Here is a 20,218-nt window from a genome sequence, read left to right on the forward strand (position 1 = left end):
AAGAAGGAAATAAACTATTTGTCTGAAATAGTATAATTATTGCTGAGACATCAAATATAACGTTGAAAAAGAGCAGTGATGATATCTTTTCTTTACTTCTCATTTTTAAAAGCACCTTTAATATTTTTTCATTAAAGATATCTTTTTTATTTTAAAGATATTTGTTGGGTTAAAAATATTATCTTCTATTTCTAATATACCATGAGTTGTATTTCTTAACTCTGAAGAAATATTTCTATCAATTTGTCTCTGCGTCTGAGGTGATTATATAAGTGTTGTTTTTTAATTTGTTAATGTGAATCTCACGGATATTTTTGGTAATATGATTATTTTGTCTTTTTTAGTATTGGTTAGGAAGTATTTCCTATTTTTAATGTCTTTAAAAGGCTTTGTAGAAAAATGAGATTATGGGTTGCTTTAAAGTATGGTAGAAGTTAAACGCGAAACCATGTAGAACTAGTGGTTTCCTACATTTTATTTGAGGGGTGTGTGTGTGTGTTTGGATGTGTAGGTTTGTGTTTGTGTGTGTGTGTGTTGTGTTTTGAGAGATTTTTTTCTTTTTTTTAATTTATTTATTATTATTATACTTTAAGTTTTAGGGTACATGTGCACAATGTGCAGGTTAGTTGCATATGTATACATGTGCCATGCTGGTGCGCTGCACCCACTAACTCGTCATCTAGCATTAGGTATATCTCCCGATGCTATCCCTCCCCCCTCCCCCCACCCCACAACAGTCCCCAGAGTGTGATGTTCCCCTTCCTGTGTCCATGTGTTCTCATTGTTCAATTCCCACCTATGAGTGAGAATATGCAGTATTTGGTTTTTTGTTCTTGCGATAGTTTACTGAGAATGATGATTTCCAATTTCATCCATGTCCCTACAAGGGACATGAACTCATCATTTTTTATGGCTGCATGGTATTCCATGGTGTATATGTGCCACATTTTCTTAATCCAGTCTGTCATTGTTGGACATTTGGGTTGGTTCCAAGTCTTTGCTATTGTGAATAATGCCGCAATAAACATACGTGTGCATGTGTCTTTATAGCAGCATGATTTATAGTCCTTTGGGTATATACCCAGTAATGGGATGGTTGGGTCAAGTGGTATTTCTAGTTCTAGATCCCTGAGGAATCGCCACACTGACTTCCACAATGGTTGAACTAGTTTACAGTCCCACCAACAGTGTAAAAGTGTTCCTATTTCTCCACATCCTCTCCAGCACCTGTTGTTTCCTGACTTTTTAATGATTGCCATTCTAACTGCTGTGAAATGGTATCTCATTGTGGTTTGGATTTGCATTTCTCTGATGGCCAGTGATGGTGAGCATTTTTTCATGTGTTTTTTGGCTGCATAAATGTCTTCTTTTGAGAAGTGTCTGTTCATGTCCTTTGCCCACTTTTTGATGGGGTTGTTTGTTTTTTTCTTGTAAATTTGTTTGAGTTCATTGTAGATTCTGGATATTAGCCCTTTGTCAGATGAGTAGGTTGTGAAAATTTTCTCCCATTTTGTAGGTTGCCTGTTCACTCTGATGGTAGTTTCTTTTGCTGTGCAGAAGCTCTTTAGTTTAATTAGATCCCATTTGTCAATTTTGGCTTTTGTTGCCATTGCTTTTGGTGTTTTAGACATGAAGTCCTTGCCCATGCCTGTGTCCTGAATGGTAATGCCTAGGTTTTCTTCTAGGGTTTTTATGGTTTTAGGTCTAACGTTTAAGTCTTTAATCCGTCTTGAATTGATTTTTTGTATAATGTGTGAGGAAGGGATCCAGTTTCAGCTTTCTACATATGGCTAGCCAGTTTTCCCAGCACCATTTATTAAATAGGGAATCCTTTTTCCATTGCTTGTTTTTCTCAGGTTTGTCAAAGATCAGATAGTTGCAGATATGCAGCGTTATTTCTGAGGGCTCTGTTCTGTTCCATTGATCTATATCTCTGTTTTGGTACCAGTACCATGCTGTTTTGGTTACTGTAGCCTTGTAGTATAGTTTGAAGTCAGGTAGTGTGATGCCTCCAGCTTTGTTCTTTTGGCTCATGATTGACTTCGTGAGTGGGCTCTTTTTTGGTTCCATATGAACTTTAAAGTAGTTTTTTCCAATTCTGTGAAGAAAGTCATTGGTAGCTTGATGGGGATGGCATTGAATCTGTAAATTACCTTGGTCAATATGGCCATTTTCACGATATTGATTCTTCCTACCCATGAGCATGAAACCACAGCTTCAATTTCTTTAACAGTTTAGGCTTTTTATTTTTTCTAGAGTTAGTTCTGATAAGATACACTTTTAAGTAATTTGTTCATTTTGGCTAAGTTTTCAGAGCTGTTGACATTCAGTTATTTGCTGTCTACTTTTGTTATTTTTTAATCTCTACTTTGACTATATGTATTGTATCTTCTTTGTTCAATATTTGCATCATTTTTGTCTTTTATTTTTTCTCCATTAACTTTACAAAACTTTTGCCTATTATGCTAGGTTATTTTTCAAAGAACTGACTTTTGATGTGGTTTATCTTCTCTGTTTTATCTTTTTGTTCCTTTTTCATTGTTTCTTATTCTTGTTTTCATCATTTCTTTTATTTTTATTTCCTTGATCCTATTCTAATACATCTCCAAAGCTACAAATTATTCCTAAAGCACGGCTGTTGCTGTATCTCAAAGCATATATATTTAATATTTTCAACATATTTCTAAGAATAATGATAAAGAATTGTTGCAATTTCTTCCAAGCTCATAATATTTTTAGCACTCTATTTTTTTATTCCTAAATCTGAAAACTATTTTTATTTGTGTTTTGGTTAACTTCTAAGTTAATTGTATTGTGATCAAAGATCATTATATGTAATAACTTTGTTTTTGTAATGTGTTGAGGCTTTCATTGTCTGTCAAGAAAAATACCGTTTTGATAAATATTTGTGTGTTCTTTATAAAAATTAGTTCCTCTAAATGTTCTTTTCAGAATTTATAAATATTAAACATGTGTGTTCAAAATCTGTGATGATTGTTTTCTGCTTGCTCTATCAATAGTTTAAAAAGATATGTCAAAATCTCTCATAACAGTGGCAGACTCATCAATTTCTCCTTCTAATTTTTTTCATATTTGCTTCTTATATTTAAAAGCCATTTTATTAAATGCATAGTTGATTTAAAATGTTATGCCTGTTTCAGTAACTCAGTTTTTTAAACTAAATAGTGAACTTCTTCATCCTTAGTAATTACATTTTTTAAAAAAATAGTATTAACTTGATTTGTATTTTTTCATATCACTATGAGGGATTCTACTAAATGCACCAAATTAGTTATAAAAACCTCTAAACCCAGAGTCAATCATCTTTTTTCCCTCATTGCTGCCACGTTCTTTTTTGTCCAGAACCCCTCCTTCTTTGGAACTTGAAACCATATTTAAATGCTACTTGGCCTACACAACGTTCATTTCTGGATCTGCAATGAAGTGGGAGGATCTGAGGCGAGTTGCGGTAAGATCTAGCTGTTTTTGTTCCTTGTAGTTTTCCTTAGTTGCAACAATTAAAATAATAGGATATATTGCTTTTTAAAAAAGGTATTATTTCAGCTTCTTTAATTGGTGGAAAATATAACTTCCTCAACTTTAAAAACAATTGTAAAGGAGGTGTAGTAATTGACCCCCAAATCTGATTTCAGAAATGTCAAGCAGACCTCACTGTTTGCCAACACTTATATTTAAATTATTTATTTCTCAAAATTCTCTATCTAAATCAGTTTTATTTTATCAGCCTAAGAGGTCTGAAAAAGGTATGGATAGCAAGGTGTGTTTGATCTTACCACACAAATAGAATTCTTACCAGAAGGCAGATCTCTGAGTCCATCAGCTTTAATCAACTTCTCCTCCTAAATGCATGGATATGCTTTCCAATAGGAAAAACATAAAGGAAAATAGTAGAAATCTCATTAAAGTTGTGACGCAAAATAATGAGCAACAGCCAACCCTCTAGACAGGTTTGGCTTAAGATCAAAGGCAGCTTCCTGTCATGTTCTCAGTCTCGGAGAATCAACAAACAGAAAAGTTTCTGTTGAAAGCCAAGATCTATAGAGTAAACATGAAGAATTGACAGACCCAGAAAAATATTTCTCTTTCCTGCAGTTTAGTACTGTAAGAGCCATTTCAGTAATTTTCTAGAACTTTGAAATTCACACTCCACCAATATTGAATAACTGCTTATTAGAGCCAAGTAGACTCCCAGTTCCTCTGTTTTTAACTGTCCTGAAAGATAAGTAAATACACAGACGGTTGCTTATAAAGGCCTTAGGGCTTATCACTAGGCATCAAATAATGGTGATGGATGGTAGGAAAAATATAACGCCTTATTTTACCCATTTGAAAGCAATCTTTTACCTATGTCAGAGACCCTGTGTCCTAGCCCATCAGCTGCAACCCTTGCCCTTTGCAGCATTTGCAGGACAACAATCCTGATGTAAAGACATCCTCATTACAACTTATTCCCAAGTGTGTCCTCTTTTGTGTTAGCAATTTTATTACAAAATTGTTAGAAAACCCGAAAGGGGAAGACCAGAGCATTTCCCATGTAATTAACAAGATGGCTCCTGTCCGATCTTGAAGGGTAGGTGGAATCTGCAGAGGCATGCCTGATTATAGCCAATCCTTTGTGCAGTGATTCCCATGCTGAAGATATTTCCAACATTATGAGGTAAGAAGCTGTGTTTTGTATGCTATAACGATTATTTTTTTCTATCTCTTTTAAAGTAATGCCCGGTACATAAGCATAAAAAGGAGAAAATGTCGTCTATCATATCACTAGGTTCATCATATTCCAAGGTTCTGCCTACTTTTTGCCTGCTCCCCAAGACTGTGCAGATGGATGCAAAAGGATAAAAACGGAGCATCCTGAGTGTGAATGTGCTTCTCCATATAATTCCCTGAAGTTTCATATCTATAGTAGCCATCTGAATTTAAGAAGCAAGCATACAAATAACTGATTATTGTTCAGATAGAACCATTATAACTAATATCCTCTCCTCAAAAATGAAGATGCAATTTTATGAACCCTATTAGTGCACGTTATTTATTGGGATTTTTCTCTAGTAGTTGTGGTGAAAGATTATGCGTGGTCCGGTATGACGTGCTTTTTGTTTGACCATCAGTAAGTATTCTCTTTTCTTTTCTTTTCTTTTTTTTTTTTTGAGACGGAGTTTTGCTCTTGTTGCCTGTGCTGGAGGGCAGTGGCGTGATCTAGGCTCACTGCAACTTCCACCTCCCCGGTGCAAGCAGTTCTGCCTCAGCCTTCCAAGTAGCTGGGATTACAGGCATGTGCCACCACGCCAGACTAATTTTTTATTTTTAGTAGAGATGGGGTTTTACCATGTTGGTCAGGCTGGTCTTGAACTCCTGAGCTCAGATGATCTGTCCACCTTAGCCTCCCAAAGTGCTGGGATTACAGGCTGGGCCACTGCGCCTGGCCTGACCATCGGCAAGTATTTTCAAGATGGCTAGAGTCAGTGTTATTACATTAAACTGTGAACTCTTCTAGCAAGAACGTGACTTGTGATAACTGTGATTATGATGACAATGGCATTTTGGCTAATCCAGATGAACTTCCAATCTCCAGAGTAAAATAAACACAGATAGCTGAAGGTGACATTACATATAGCAAGAAACAGCTGAAAATCTGTACCATACATAGTACAGTAAATATGACGTAGATCTTAGTTTCTTAATTTGTAAAATGGGGAAGTTGAATTAGACAGTCTATGAGCTATTTCAAGCCATAGACTACCATCAAATTTCTATTTTTACCTGTAATTATTAGGTTTGGGTTTGAAAGCTAAAACATGAAACTGTTGATTTCCTCCTCAAGAATTGGTCTCAGAAGAACACAGTCTTCTAACACCAAGAGATAATCATTCCATAGATTTGGTTGGCAAAGTCATGAAAACAATGATGCTCTTCTGTGTAGGCTACTAAAAACATTTTTAGAAAACAACACAACAATAAACTTTATTATATGCCAAGTTTTTCTACACTTACCTACATATCAATTTAACTCTGAATTAAATTATATTACAAAGCCCTTTGGCTATGACACATGACTAATGAGAGTGTTTGGGGTTTATATAGGGTGCTCTCTATCAAGAACTATGATTCTACCACCAGAATCATCATACAGATACTGCAATCCCATAACAAGGTATAGTAACATTCTAGCATATTCCATCTCCTCCTTTTATCTATATAGCTAGACGAACTTTTTAATTTTCTAATGGATGTGTAAATAAAAAGTTTTTGCTAATCATAGGTAAAATTTGGAGTCTTATTAAGATGGATAATCACTTAACAATGTAAATTGGGGGCAGAATTAGAAGTTTAAGTCATTTGACCTGATTTTGCAACTCTAGCTATTTTTGTTTCAAAAAATGAGAGCCATTGACCACTAACCACTTTCAAATGCTGAATTTGTTCTTATCATTTTCATTGACCTGGGCACCACTTTTGTGTGCAAAAATGAAGAATATATGATTTCAAGTAAATTTAAAAAAAGAAAGACATCCATCCTCAAGAGCTTTCTTGAGGTGTGTTTATTCCTAATGTTTGACCTGCTTTGTGCTATGGAACAGGTTTATCTGCCAAAGATTCCCAGCTGGAACTGGGACACCGGAGACAACATCATCTGCTTTGCTGAATTAAAACTTGGATTTATCGCCCAAGGCTGTTTGGTGCCAGGCTTGTGTACCTTCCTAACATCTCTATTTGTGGAGCAAAACAAAAAGGTAACCTTGTAAATTACTGTTGATTCTTGGCTCTGTTCCTATGTCCTACATATTAAGATCAGAAATAGGAAAAAAATTTGAGAAAAGCATCAAGGCCCCAAGCAATGAGATATGACTTCTGCTTGAGCTGGGAAGGGATTAGAAGATCTGAATTTAAAAGTCCCAGGTACCACACTGACCTTGAAGAAATCATTTATTTTATTCCTGCCTAAGAATATTTATCTACAAAACAGAAAAAATATAACTCTGCTTCCTACCTACAGTCCAGGATGTTTTAAATCAAAGTACATTCATCAAAGTAGAAGCATTGAGTTATCGAAAGTGAAAATATAAATAAAGGTTATATTATTAATGAAGGATTCATATATTTCAATATAAATTAAATCCAAAATAATAATTGGTATAATAATTATATTCATCAAATAGAAATGATACAAATAGTAATTAAAATCTAATTTTTCCAGGTTGTTTAAGGGAGCATTCCATGCAGGAATAATAACAGTAACCACATGATGAGTGCCTACTGTCTTGTGTTTCCCCTCAATAATATGTTGTTAGTATCCCAGCAGTGAATTGGTGAAGCTAACTAACTTGATCATGCAGTAAGTTAGTGAGCCGCAGAGCTAGAACTGTCTGGTCCACAGTGTTGTTACCACAATGCTGTATGCCTCTGGTGTTATTTCCACACAATGTCTCACATCAAGATTTTTGATATTTTTGTCTGAGACAAAGTAAGGGGCTAAAAGTGACTCTTGGGATAAATTTTTGTAGCACAAAAGGTGGTCTTCCAAATATCATTTCCATGAAATGCTCCAGGCAAGGTGTGCTAGCCCTTGGCTGGACCTGGTCTTCCTTTTCTAAAGTGCTTGCAGAGAATGACCTTACTTTCCATTTAATTCTGAGTCCATGCTTGCCTTTCATACACGTGACTTCCCTCTTGACCTCTCTTTGCTCGCTCTTTCCTCTGTTCTCTTTTTTCTGTGTTCAGTACAAATATTTGCATCTTTTTCTGTTTCTTCCCTGGTGCTATTTAACGAAAAGCAAAAGAAGTAAGAGGTGCTCTGGCCAGCTATATCCTAACTGCAACAAACGGAATGCTTCTGTAATTCCTTCCGTGAATGTAAAGAGATGTAATATACAGGTGAAAAGAAATGGTAGTCAGGGTGGAGGGAATGAGCCTTCATGCAGCTACAACACACAAGCTTTTACTTTCATGTAGTGGTCACTGTATGCAGCCTAGAAAATGGTTGATAAGGACACTGTCATTGTGTTGTATATTTAGAAAGTGGCAGAGAACTTCAATATTTCTTGTGATTATTGTGATTTCAATCTCCATGGCTGGAGAAAGTAAATGGAAATAAATGGAATGTGAACTCTATATGAAGACTTATCCTCCTTCATGAAACTATAGAAGACAGGGATGTAAAACCATCCTCTTGTATTTTTCTTATTTAAAGAGTTGTGGCCAGGTGTGGTGGCTCACGCCTGTAATCCCAACACTTTGTGAGGCTGAGGTTGGTGGGTCACTCGAGCTCAGGAGTTTGAGACCAACCTTGCCAACGTAGTGAAACCCTGTCTCTAGTAAAAATATATATAAAAAAATTAGCCAGGCATGGTGGCGTGAGCCTGTAGCCCCAGCAATTGGGGAGGCTGAGGCAGGGGAGTTGCTTGAACCCAGGAGGTGGGGGTTGCAGTGAGCTGAGATCACGCCACTCCACTCCAGCCTCAGCGACAGAGTGAGACTCTGTCTCAAAAAAACCAATAAATGAAATAAAAATAAGATCTAGAGTTGTAACCTCCCCACTGAGGATGATCACCTGTCATTATTTATACAAGATGGATTTTAGCTTACAGGAATTGAGAGATATTTATGGTCTCCATAATGTTTTTTTGAGTGAAGTCTGAAACCTACTTTCAGGAATCCTCACTGAACAGCATCAGGCAAAATATGTGAAAGCTGCATTATTCTTTGGTGCTTTCAATTCTATAACAAACTATCGACTTTGGTTTAGTGGCTGGGACTCCAGAGTTTTATGACTGATTTCTCTCAGAGTAGGCCCTTACTTTCCCTGACTGTCAATTTCTCTATCTATAAAATTAAAGTTATTAATCTCATAACTGGCTTTTTCCAAGTATTGAGTTAATATTTGTAAAACTTCTGAGAACTCAGATTAAAAGGCCTTGAGTCAATGCCATGTGTTTTAATTATATTGATCATATTGTGAGAAATTGTAGCTCGAAGAACATTTCCAGTTGGTCCTGGGTTCAGAGCATGGCCTTAAACTTAAATTTACATTAGATCTGATCCAACAGGCTTACTTGAGCACCCAGATTCTTCTATCCAAAATCCTCCTGTTTTCCTTTCTGATCTTTTTAAATCTATCTCTGGAACTCTTCTCCATCCCCACGCTATCATTTTTTACCTTCTTTCAAACATTGAAACATTTAGATTAGAAGCACTAAGCCAATTTATTTAGTTATTGGAAATTAGTGGTATGAACCACCTAATAATCAGAGCCCGCCTCATGAGAGGACTTTAAGAAAGTGGGAAAAGGGAAAAGATTCATTCAGCTGAATCTTCGTGGTGGAAGCAGGCACTGGAATGCCTGAAATAGTCTGTCCTTTTTCGTAGGGCAGAATTGTTTGTCTATGTGTTTGTTTTTGTTTTGCTTTTTTTCCAAACTGCATCACGACCATCTGAAGATAATTTCTGAACCAGCCATAACTCTCCATAGCAACAGTGCTCCTAAACGTTTAGAAATTCAAGATTTTCATCTGAGATTCTCGGTTTTAAGAAGACTGTCTTGCCATATCAGAACAGTGTGGTGGTGATTCTCATGGCAGTAGGTGGAGAAGGATGAGGAGAGGGTCCTACACAAACGTCAGCCACGAGTTCCTAACAGCCTTTCTGTTGGGTTGGGTGCATTTAGCCATTTTGAGATATCTTTCTCCTTTCACATCTCCCATTTCTCTGGAAACCTACTTTTTGCCTTGATTTCTCCATTCTCTCTTCCATGCATCAGGATGGCCCTTGAAGTTCATTTGAACTTATGAAGGGTTCTGATGCTGGACAGAAGCTATGAATATTTTCTTCTTTGAGATAAATGGTTAGTAGAAAACTAAAATATTTTAAACCAATCTTGAGTAGTCATATCCAGAGAGAGATAATTTAGATTCCACATTAACTTTCCCATCTGATTCTTACTAACTGAAAAGCTGAAATCAGGACTGGGTGATGGAGAATTCTCACTGCCAGCAAGGAAACTTGAACGCCATCTGCAAGAAAATAAGTAATGATGTGTCTGCCTCATCCTGAACTCTGGTGAAAATAGTTGAGATGGAGTTAGCTTTTTAGTTATTCCTTTAACATTTCTCTAGTTAAGCACTAAGATAAATCTCTTTTTTATGACTTACATGCAATGAAGACTTGTTTGTGCTTAGCAGAATATGCAATGTGAATTCTAACATTCTACATTCCTTGTCGTTTTGCTTCGTGTGGCATGATTATGTATTCCAGGTTATGCCTAAACAGACCTGGAAGAAACACTTCTTGAATAGCATGAAAAACAAAATTCTGACCCAACGTCTCTCTGATGACTTTGCTGGAATGAGCTTTCCTGAAGTTGCCCGGTAAGTGAAGTGAAATACTTCCCTCATTCTTCAGACAACAGCATTCTTTCAACAACGTTCACTGAGGGCCCACTATAGGCCAGGCTTCATTACAAACTGAAGATCTAAGAAGGGACAGCCCAGGGTCCCTGAAACTTAGAAGTTTACAGTTGGGATGGGGCAATTTCATCTCTGTCCCAGTTGGTGCAGTGGCTGTTGGTTACTTTAGGTGGATTCACTTACAAGGGATCATTCCACATTGGGAGTTCTTTCCTCTAAGATGTTGGTTTCCTCCTAGGCACAGAGCACAGAGTGTTAGTTATTTTGTTGTTCACTGACCGCTTGCTCTCCTTTTGACTCCTCGTCTTCCTTCCCAGGCTCTGCTTTCTGAAGATGCACCTCCTGTTGATAGCCATCGAATACAAGTCCCTCTTTACGGATGGTTTCTGGTACCAATAAGTCTGCTCATCTCTTCAGTTGTTTTTTTTTTTTTTTTTTTTTTCCTGGAGATTCTTTGTGATTAAGAATTTTTCCAAAGATGCAGCTATAACTAAGCTTTTTCCCTTTGGTGGATTGGCTGAGAGGCAGCCTCTGGGGCTCTCTGGCTCCTCTGCTGTGCTGTCTCTGATGGCTCAGGTTAGGGTGGTGACCCTCTTGGGCAAACACTTCTCTTTTGTTCCTCGGACCCTGCCCCACCTCTCTCTCAGGAGCAGAGAGGAGAAGAAATGGTCACCTTCTCAAATCTGTTTCTCTTAATAATATTACCAGATCTTGACCATGAAATAATACCACAAAATTGAATCATTTGTGATAAAAATGTTCCCACAAACACTGGCCATGCAAAGTAAAGAACAATGCTGGGCATGGTGGCTCATGCCTGTAATGCCAGCACTTTGAGAGTTTGAGGCAGGCGGATCACTTAAGGCCAGGAGTTCAAGAGCAGCCTGGCCAACATGGTGAAACCCTGTCTCTACTAAAAATACAAAAATTAGCAGGACATTGTCGTGCACCTGGGCCTGCAATCCCGGCTACTTGGGAGGCTGACGCATGAGAATTGCTTGAACCTGGGAGGCAGAGGCTGCAGTGAGCTGAGTTCACACCACTGCACTTCAGCCTAGGTGACAGAGCAAGACTCTGTCTCCAAAAAATAATTTTAAAAAAAGTACAGGACAAACTATGGCAAAATGGGAATCTGACCAGCCGACCGGACAAAGGCTTTTGTTGATAGAGTTGATAAAGGAGACCTCATCACCAGACATCAGCATTTCCCAAAAACCCATAAGTGAATAAATATGAAAGTAAGAGAAGTTATCACATAATGCAAAATAAAATTCAGAGCAAATGAAATATACATAAACATAAATGGAAGAAAAGGTGGAAAAGAAAGACAAATAGATACTATAATATAGAGAAAAAGATCTGTTAAAAAAAAAAGAAAAGGGGTGGGGCTTAAATGGGATGAGGGCAAGAAAGACTGTGTGTTGGCTCATGTGTACTTTTTAGTGAAAAATTAACTTGTGCTAAATAGGAATTAACAGACTAGATTCTGATCCTGACTGATTTGCTGGCCCTGTGGCCGTGGATAAGGATTCATCATTTGTAGAATGAGGAAATAGAGTTAAAGAATCTCTCACACACCTTCCTTTTCTAAAATTGACATTACCAGAAATTGTAAAATTATAGGAAAACATTCAAAATGCAATAATTTTCAATTATATCAGGTGGGCGATAAAGGAATTATTATATGTGAAAAGTTGGGAAAGCATCAAAGACCTGTCTGAGTTGACAGGATATAGAAAGCATCTGGGTAGAAGATGTCAGTGGGATTGTAAAAAGCAAGTCATTAAGAAGAGAATAACAAGTAGTATTGTCTGGCTGCCTAAGTTCTGTTTAAAAATCCTGCTGTGCTCAAGAAAATCTCACAATCAAAACCTCTGAATGTAAACATCTGCATAAATGAGCCTCCTACTAGAAACAGGTCATAGTAAAATGGGTAGACTTGGAATCATAAGCCAGGTAGTTCGGGTTTCAGACTGGCCCAAAATTTTATCAAGTTTTAGTAACAAGTTTGTCTTTCAATCACCTGGCTTATATGTCAGAATTATTTGCATAAGTTTTTTTGTTTTTGTTTTTGAGACGGAGTTTCACTCTTTTTGCCCAGGCTGGAGTGCAATGGCACAATTTCGGCTCACTGCAACCTCCGCCTCCCAGGTTCAAGTGATTCTCCTGCCTCAGCCTCCTGAGTAGCTGAGATTACAGGTGTGTGCACCACACCCGGTTAATTTTTGTATTTTTAGTAGAGACGGGATTTCACCATGTTGGTGCTCTCAAACTCCTGACCTCAGGTGATCCACCCACCTCGGCTTCCCAAAGTGCTGGGATTACAGGAGTAAGCTACTGTGCCCAGCCTGTTTGCATAAGTTTTAAAGACTTATAGATTCCAAAACCCTACTTTTGACTGCAGAACCAAATCTTCAAGGGTGAGCCTGAGAATTCTTTCTCAAGTCTCCATGATATCATTGGTTTATTCACTGGAATCTGGAAACTACAACCACATGCCCTTAAGATCTTTTCCACCTTTAACATTCTAGATTTCTGTAAACTTTATTAAGATGACGGTTAGGACATCACAGACCAGAAACATGAATATTTATTTAGCAACTAATCTCACGTAGATTTAAGAGGCCCTGTTTACTACCTAACACACATGTACCTCAATGAAGGGGGGATCTATGGAAACAGAGATTTAACTTTGTCTTCTCACTGGGAAGTCTGGTGAATCAAAAGGATTAAGTTCTGATTTGGCAAATGTATTGATAAGAACATTCCCTTCTATGATTGATACTTTGTGACCAACACTGCTATAGACCTGTTACATATGTTAACTCTTGAATAATCCTCACAACAGTGCTGTGAGATAGGTACTATTATTAGTCTCATTTTACAGAGGAGGAAGCTGAACCCCAGAAAGTTTTAATGATTTTCCCAACCTCACACAACACCCAAGTGGCAGAGCCAGGATCTGAACTCAGGTCCTCTGGCTCCAGGGCTGTGCTTCTGTAACCACCCTGTAGTAAATTCACTGCTGCCATTATTGGTAGAAGGAAGACTGCATGTTTAAATAGTTGGACTTTAAGCAAATATATTGAAATTCTGGGGAAAAAGCCTATCTTTTCTCACTTTTTAGCTCCTCTTCAAATTGGCAAGCTTGAAGAGATCCTACGACTTGCAAAATGCTTGGAGAATTATAAGAATTTTTCTTACGGAATTATTTGTCACCTGCTAACAGATGAAGCTGGATCTGACCCCATCACTTACTGTAATGATTTTGTTCCAGGGACAAACATTCTCTGATAGAGCAACCAGCCAAATCATAAAGAGTGAATCAACTAATAACACCATGTTAGGAAAATCCTTAAGAGAGGCTCACCTCTTTTCTCAAATACAGTCAAATATATGTTTTATTGTGACAGTATCTTCATAGCTAGATATTTAATATGAGTTCAGAGAAACCTTTCTCCTTTTAAAAAAATGAAAGGAGCGGCCAGGCGCAGTGGCTCATGCCTGTAATCTCAGCAGTTTGGGAGGCCGAAGCAGGTGGATCACCTGAGGTCAGGGGTTTGAGATCAGCCTGTCCAACATGGTGAAACTCCGTCTCTACTAAAAATACAAAAAATTAGCTATGCATGGTGGTGCACACCTGCAATCCCAGCTACTCGGGAGGCTGAGGCAGGAGAATCACCTGAACCTGGAAGGCAGAGGTTGCAGTGAGCCGAGATCATGCCATTGCACTCCAACCTGGGCAACAAGAGTGAAACTCCGTCTCAAAAAAAAACAAAAAAAAAAGGCTATGTAAGACACAACTAAGCATGCATCTGCTAGTTAGTGAGCATCAGCCAATAATATTTAAGGGGCCGCAGTTGTATTTTCCTTCCAAAGTTAAAACCAATTATTTCACTCATTAATATAAGTCAGTAAATACTCAGAAAAGGCCATCCATTGTCTGAGGTAGTAATCTACCTGAACACAGCTATATAGCCTGGGTCTATTCTTGGCATAAGGCTGAAGAACTTTGGCTGTGCAAGCTCATTTATTTTTGTGAGGGTTCTCTAACACTTGAAAGTTGTAAGTATCCCAGCAACAGAATAAGCTTTGCCAGAATTAAAACTTCATCTCATTTCGATGTGAATACAAGAGAAGGGATGATTTTTAAAGGAGGAAAGGAGAACTTCCGTTCTGCAAAAAAGAAGTGAGGGGAATTATAGGGTTTTGAGACCTCACCATAGACATCTGAATTGAAGGAAATAAAGGCAGGAGATCCTGATAAACAGGGAGAAATGTGGGTAATTTGAAAAGCCATAGCAGAGTACTGCATCAAAGAGTATCATGGACAGAAAATTATAATACAATATTCTCAAACACATAAACCACAAGAAAATAGAAAATCAAAAGGTTCAAGTAAGATAACAATAGAAATAATTCACATGCTGTCAAAAATCTGGCAATCAAAATAAGCAAAACTGAAGTCAAAAGAAACGCACAACCTCAAAAACTGCATAGGTGAATAGAAGAAACTTTTGAATCCAGCTGGTTAATTAAATGTTAACTTTAAATGGCAAGTGGCCTAAAGATGAGCACTACTAGTATGACGCTAAGCCTGGCAATTGTGTGGTCTCGGCATATTTGTCATTTGATAGCTTAAATCAGCAAGATGTTGTGCACCTGAGTTGGTCGGACCATCTCAGATGCATGACAGAATCCGGGAGAGGCTTTGCCGCAGGTCCGCTGTGTGTTCAGCTCACTGATCAAGTTGTTCCCTGGCTCCCCTCTGCATAGTCAGCCCCAATCAAACAAAGAATTACAAATGTCAAATTCACATTCTCCACTGTGTTTGGCAGTAAGAGGAGGTTGAATACGATTAAATTAGCAACTCAGAGAATCCATTGATCATAACAGAAAGAGGCACCAACTGTTGCCACTGAAATCAGAGGGAAACATTACCATGTGTTTATTTTTTGTTTCCAGTGGTCTGATACTAAATCCACCTCCACAAGTGAGGATACGTAAGAACACATTAGGGTTCTTTATTGCTGAAACTCCAAAGGACGTCAGAAGGTAATTTTATTATTTTATGGGGGAAAAGCACTAAAGCAACTACAGCTTAATGGGAGGCCCACTGAGTCAGCACCATGCCTCCTTTGCATTAAGACTCACATAATTCATTCTTGGTTTTCTTTCATTGTCCAGAGCCTTGTTTTACTGTTCAGTCTGTCATGATGATGTGTTCATTCCTGAGCTAATTACAAACTGTGGCTGCAAAAGCAGAAGCCGGCAGCACATCACAGGTAATTGCACTTTATTTCTGGCTGTCCTTAGCCCAGCCTCTAGGGAGCTGCCTGACGAAAGAGAAGAGGGTTCCATCTCTTAAAAGGCAATGTCCATTTGAACTTGGCCAGGAAGTGGCAGACATTTCCTCACTGACCACACAAGAGGTGAGAATCAGTGTTTTAGAGCTGGAAGAAACCTAACTAGTTATCGAATTCAGTTCCTTTAAAAGCAGGCAAATGCATTTTAAGAGATCCAGTCACTTTGTCCAAAGTCACATAGCCAGTTAGCGGCATCACCAAACTCAATCCCAGGCATGCTGACTTTCAGCCCATTGCTTTTTCATGATTTCACAGTTTTTCACAACTTCAGACTGAAAATTCAGCCTATATCTGACCACTTGGTTGGCCACGAGGATGCTACCTCATGACCATACCTTAAGTACTCTGTTTCCTTAATGGATAGCAAGAAGTTTAAAGTTTACTCATCCTGACATGGTGCCGAGGGAATGTAATTTTCTCTATTTTCTCTAACTGAACTCAGCAGTTTACCAACACCCCTTTCCACTTAATGGCAGAAAAGGAAAAATTAATCTCAAGCATTCATAATCACTTAGTCCCTTCTAGTTTAAAATTTAGCCTCAGTCGGGCACGGTGGCTCACACCTGTAATCCCAGCATTTTGGGAGGCCAAGGGGGGTGGATCATGAGGTCAGGAATTCAAGACCAGCCTGGCCAAGATGGTGAAACCTCGTCTCTACTAAAAATACAAAAATTAGCTGGGCGTGGCAGCGTGTGCCTGTGATCCCAGCTGCTTGGGAGGCTGAGGCAGAGAATTGCTTGAACCTGGGAGGCGGAGGTTGCAGTAAGCCGAGATCATACCACTGCACTCCAGCCTGGGCGACAGAGCGAAAAAAAAAAAAAAAAAACTTAGCCTTGTCCAGGTACATTCAGACTCTATGTGTAAAACCCCAGTGTTTCAGAATTTAACCTTAGTCAATTCAAAATATGAATTTTCTATCAGGTCTATTTTCATCCCTGAGGTTCTTGTTCTCTCCTTCTTCTCAGAATGCTATTTAAATGCAAGAGTAAGCTGGCTTAGCATCATGAGTGTTCTTGCAGTGAACCGCAAGTCTTCACTGATTTCTCCTGAGGTTCCTCATTAACTTTGGTCTGTAATTGTTACCTTCTGTCACCTCTGCATCAACAACCAATGAATCTGCTCCTCCTGGCTTTGGGTCAGGCTCTATCATTTGTTACTGAAATCCATTCTCCTAGTCTTGAAGTCTGCAAAACTCTTTTCAGTAGTCCTTGTCTTTTCATTCCTTTTTAAATTTTTTTTCTGTTACTTTTAGTTCACATGTAATAATTGCATATATTTTTGAAATAGAGTGATATTTTGATATAGATATACAATGTATAATGATCAAATCGGGGTAATTAGCATATCCATCCATCACCTCAAACTTTTGTCATTTTTGTGTTGTGAACATTCAAAATCCTCCCTTTTAGTCTTTTGAAAATATACAATAAATTATATTTAACGATGAAGGACACTAGAAATTATTCCTCCTGTCCAGCTGTAACATTGCATTCTTTAACCAATCTCTCTGCATCTTCCCCTCCCTCTCCCCTTCTCATCCTTTAATAACCACAAGTCGAGTCTCTACTTCCATGAGCTCAATTGTTTTTTAGCTCCCATGTGTGGGTGAACATGTGGTGAACCTAATATCCTCCAGTCTCATACATGTTGCTGCTAATGACAGGATTTCATCCTTTTTAATGACTGCATAGTATTTCATTGTTTATACGTATCACATTTTCTTCATCTATTTATCTTTTGATGGACATTTAGGTTGCTTCCATAACTTAGCTATTGTGTATAGTCCTACAATAAACATGGAAGTGCAGATATCTTTTTGATACACTGATTATTTTTATAGATACACAGTAGTAGAATTGCTGGATCATATGGTAGATCCACTTTTAGTTTTTTGATGAATTCCCATACAGCTTTCCATAGCAGCTATACTAATTCATGTTTCTACCAACAGCGTATGAGTTCCCTGTTCTCCACATCCTTGTCAGCATCTATTGTTTTGTTTTGTTTTTTGTCTTTTTCATGATAGTCATTGTAACTGGAGTAAAATGATAGCTCATTGTAGTTTTGATTTGCATTTCTTTGATAATTAATGATGTTAAACATACTTATATACCATTTGTATGTCTTTTGCAAAATGTTTATTCAGATCTTTTTCCTATTTTAATCAGATTATATATTTTTTGCCATCAAGTTCCTTGTATATTCTGGATATTAGTCGCATGTCAGATGAATGGTTTGCAAATATTTTCTCCCATTCTACAGATGTCTCTTCCGTCTGTTGATTGTTTTCTTTGCTGTGCAGGTTTTGGTTTAATATAGCACCATTTGTCTATTTTTGGTTTTGTTCCCTGTGCTTTTGAAGTCTTAGCAATAAAATATTTGCCTAGTTTAAAATCTTGAACCACTATTTTCTTCTAGCAGTTTTGTAGTTTTGGGTGTTCCATTTAAGTCTTTAATCCATTTCGAGCTAATTTTTATATGGGGTGAAAGAAAGGGGCCTAGTTTCATTCTTCTGCATATGGATATCCAGTTTCCCCAGCACCATTACTGAAGTGGATCCATTCCACTTGGTGTGTTTGTGGCACTTCATTGGCCTAACGTCATTTTAGTCTGTCTGCTGTTTGGGATTTTAAACTCTCCTCCTTTATATGCATTTGTCTGTCAGGACATGGGAACCTCAGTGGGTTTCTCTCCACATTTCTCCCCGCGTACAGACACTGTCGTGTTTCTTCTTCTGCAGTCCTCTTGCATTGTTGCTAGACATGGTTTCAAGAGCACACCACTGAGAATCCATATGAAAAGGGAAGCATCTCTCTCATTTTTCTCCTTGCACGTCAGACAAATATCACATTTTCCTGGCCTAGTCACCCCTTATCAACCTGAAGCACTGTATATATGTGTGGGGGAGGGGGGTGGAGAACTGGGTTCTTTCTCAGAGATCAGGCTGTGTCCTATCTTTATAACATCTTTATTCAGATATATTCCAAATACCATGAAATAAATATATATCCATTTACAGTGTACAATTCAATGAGTTTCTTTATACAAATAGAGTTGTGTAGTCATCACTACAATCAATTTTAGAACATTTTCCTCACCTCAAAAAGAAACCCCATAGCCAATAGAAGTCACTCTTCCTTCTCCTCAACCCACAGCCCTGGAAACCACTAGTCTACTTTCTGTCACTGTAGATTTACCTATACTGGTCATTTCACACACAAAAAAAACAAAACGAAAAACAAAAAAAAGGATCCTATAGTTTGTGGCTTGTTGTGTCTGGCTCCTTTTATTCAGCCATGCTGTAGCATGTATCAATACCTCATTTCAGCTAGGCACAGTGGCTCATGCCTGTAATCCCAGCACTTTGGGAGGCTGAGGTGGGCCGATCACTTGAGGTCAGGAGTTTGAGACCAGCCTGGCCAACATGGTGAAACCCCGTCTGTACTAAAAATACAAAAATTAGCTGGGTGTGGTGGTGTGTGCCTGTAATCCCAGCTACTTGGGAGGCTGAGGCAGGAGAATCTCTTGAACCCAGGAGGTGCAGGTTGGCAGTGAGCCAAGATCAGGCCACTGCGCTCCAGCCTGGGTGACAGAGCAAGACTGTCTCAAAACAAACAAACAAACAAACAAAACCCACCAAAAACCTCATTTCTTTTTCTTGCTGAATATTATTCTGTTGTATTTTTCTTGCTGAATAATATTCTGTCATATAGATCTATACCTCATTTTGTTATACATTTATCTATTGATGGACATTTGGGTGGTTTCCACCCTTTACATATTGTATATAATGCTGCTATGCACATTGGGGCACAAATATCTGTTCAAGTTCCTGCTTTCCATTTTTTTATGTATACACCCAGAAGTAGAATTGCTAAATCAAATGCAAATTCTATGTTTCATTATTTGCAGAATCACCACACCATTGTCCACGGCAGCTACACCATTTTATATTCCCACCAGAAATGCAGAAAGGTTCCAGTTTTTCTACATTCTCACCTACACTTACTTTTCATTTATAAAAATAATGGTCATCCTAATGGTTGTAAAGTGGTATCTCATTATGGTTTTGATCTAAATTTTCCTAAATGGCATTTTTTCATGAGGAGCTCATTGACCATTTACATATCTTCTTTGAAGAAATATCTACTTAGATCCTATTTTTAAATTTGATTATTGTCTTTCTACTATTGAGTTGTATAAGATCTTTATATATTCTAAATACATAGTCCCTTATCAGATGTATGATTGGCAAATATTTTCTCCCATTCTGTGGTTTTGCTTTTCATTTTTGTTACATATTTTGAATCACAAAATTGTTTAGTTTTGATGATGTTCAATGATATATTTTTTATTTTGTCACTTGTGCTTTTGTGCAATATCTAAGAAGGTTTTGATCAATCTAAGGTCACCAAGATTTACCCCAAA

At 37.9% G+C, this 20,218-nt stretch overlaps 1 protein-coding gene across 8 annotated transcripts in view; it reads left to right on the forward strand.

The window, feature by feature from the left end:
- KCNU1 (potassium calcium-activated channel subfamily U member 1) overlaps positions 1-20,218 on the forward strand; it is a 151,752-nt gene that overhangs the window by 45,817 nt on the left and 85,717 nt on the right. For 7 of the 8 annotated variants that reach the window (NR_134267.2, XR_001745486.3, NM_001031836.3 and 4 more), the window contains exons 11-18: positions 3,364-3,469; positions 4,596-4,678; positions 6,106-6,175; positions 6,603-6,755; positions 10,273-10,385; positions 10,742-10,813; positions 15,390-15,479; positions 15,612-15,709. Coding sequence is in view for 6 of the 8 variants with exons in the window: in NM_001031836.3 (NP_001027006.2) it covers positions 3,364-3,469; positions 4,596-4,678; positions 6,106-6,175; positions 6,603-6,755; positions 10,273-10,385; positions 10,742-10,813; positions 15,390-15,479; positions 15,612-15,709 (785 nt within the window). In the remaining 2 variants the exon portion in view is untranslated. The remainder of the gene's footprint in view (positions 1-3,363; positions 3,470-4,595; positions 4,679-6,105; positions 6,176-6,602; positions 6,756-10,272; positions 10,386-10,741; positions 10,814-15,389; positions 15,480-15,611; positions 15,710-20,218) is intronic. The other variant, XM_011544424.3, reaches the window with a different exon arrangement.

The sequence above is a fragment of the Homo sapiens genome, chromosome 8 (genome assembly GCF_000001405.40).
Source record: "Homo sapiens chromosome 8, GRCh38.p14 Primary Assembly".
Classification (NCBI taxonomy): domain Eukaryota; kingdom Metazoa; phylum Chordata; class Mammalia; order Primates; family Hominidae; genus Homo; species Homo sapiens.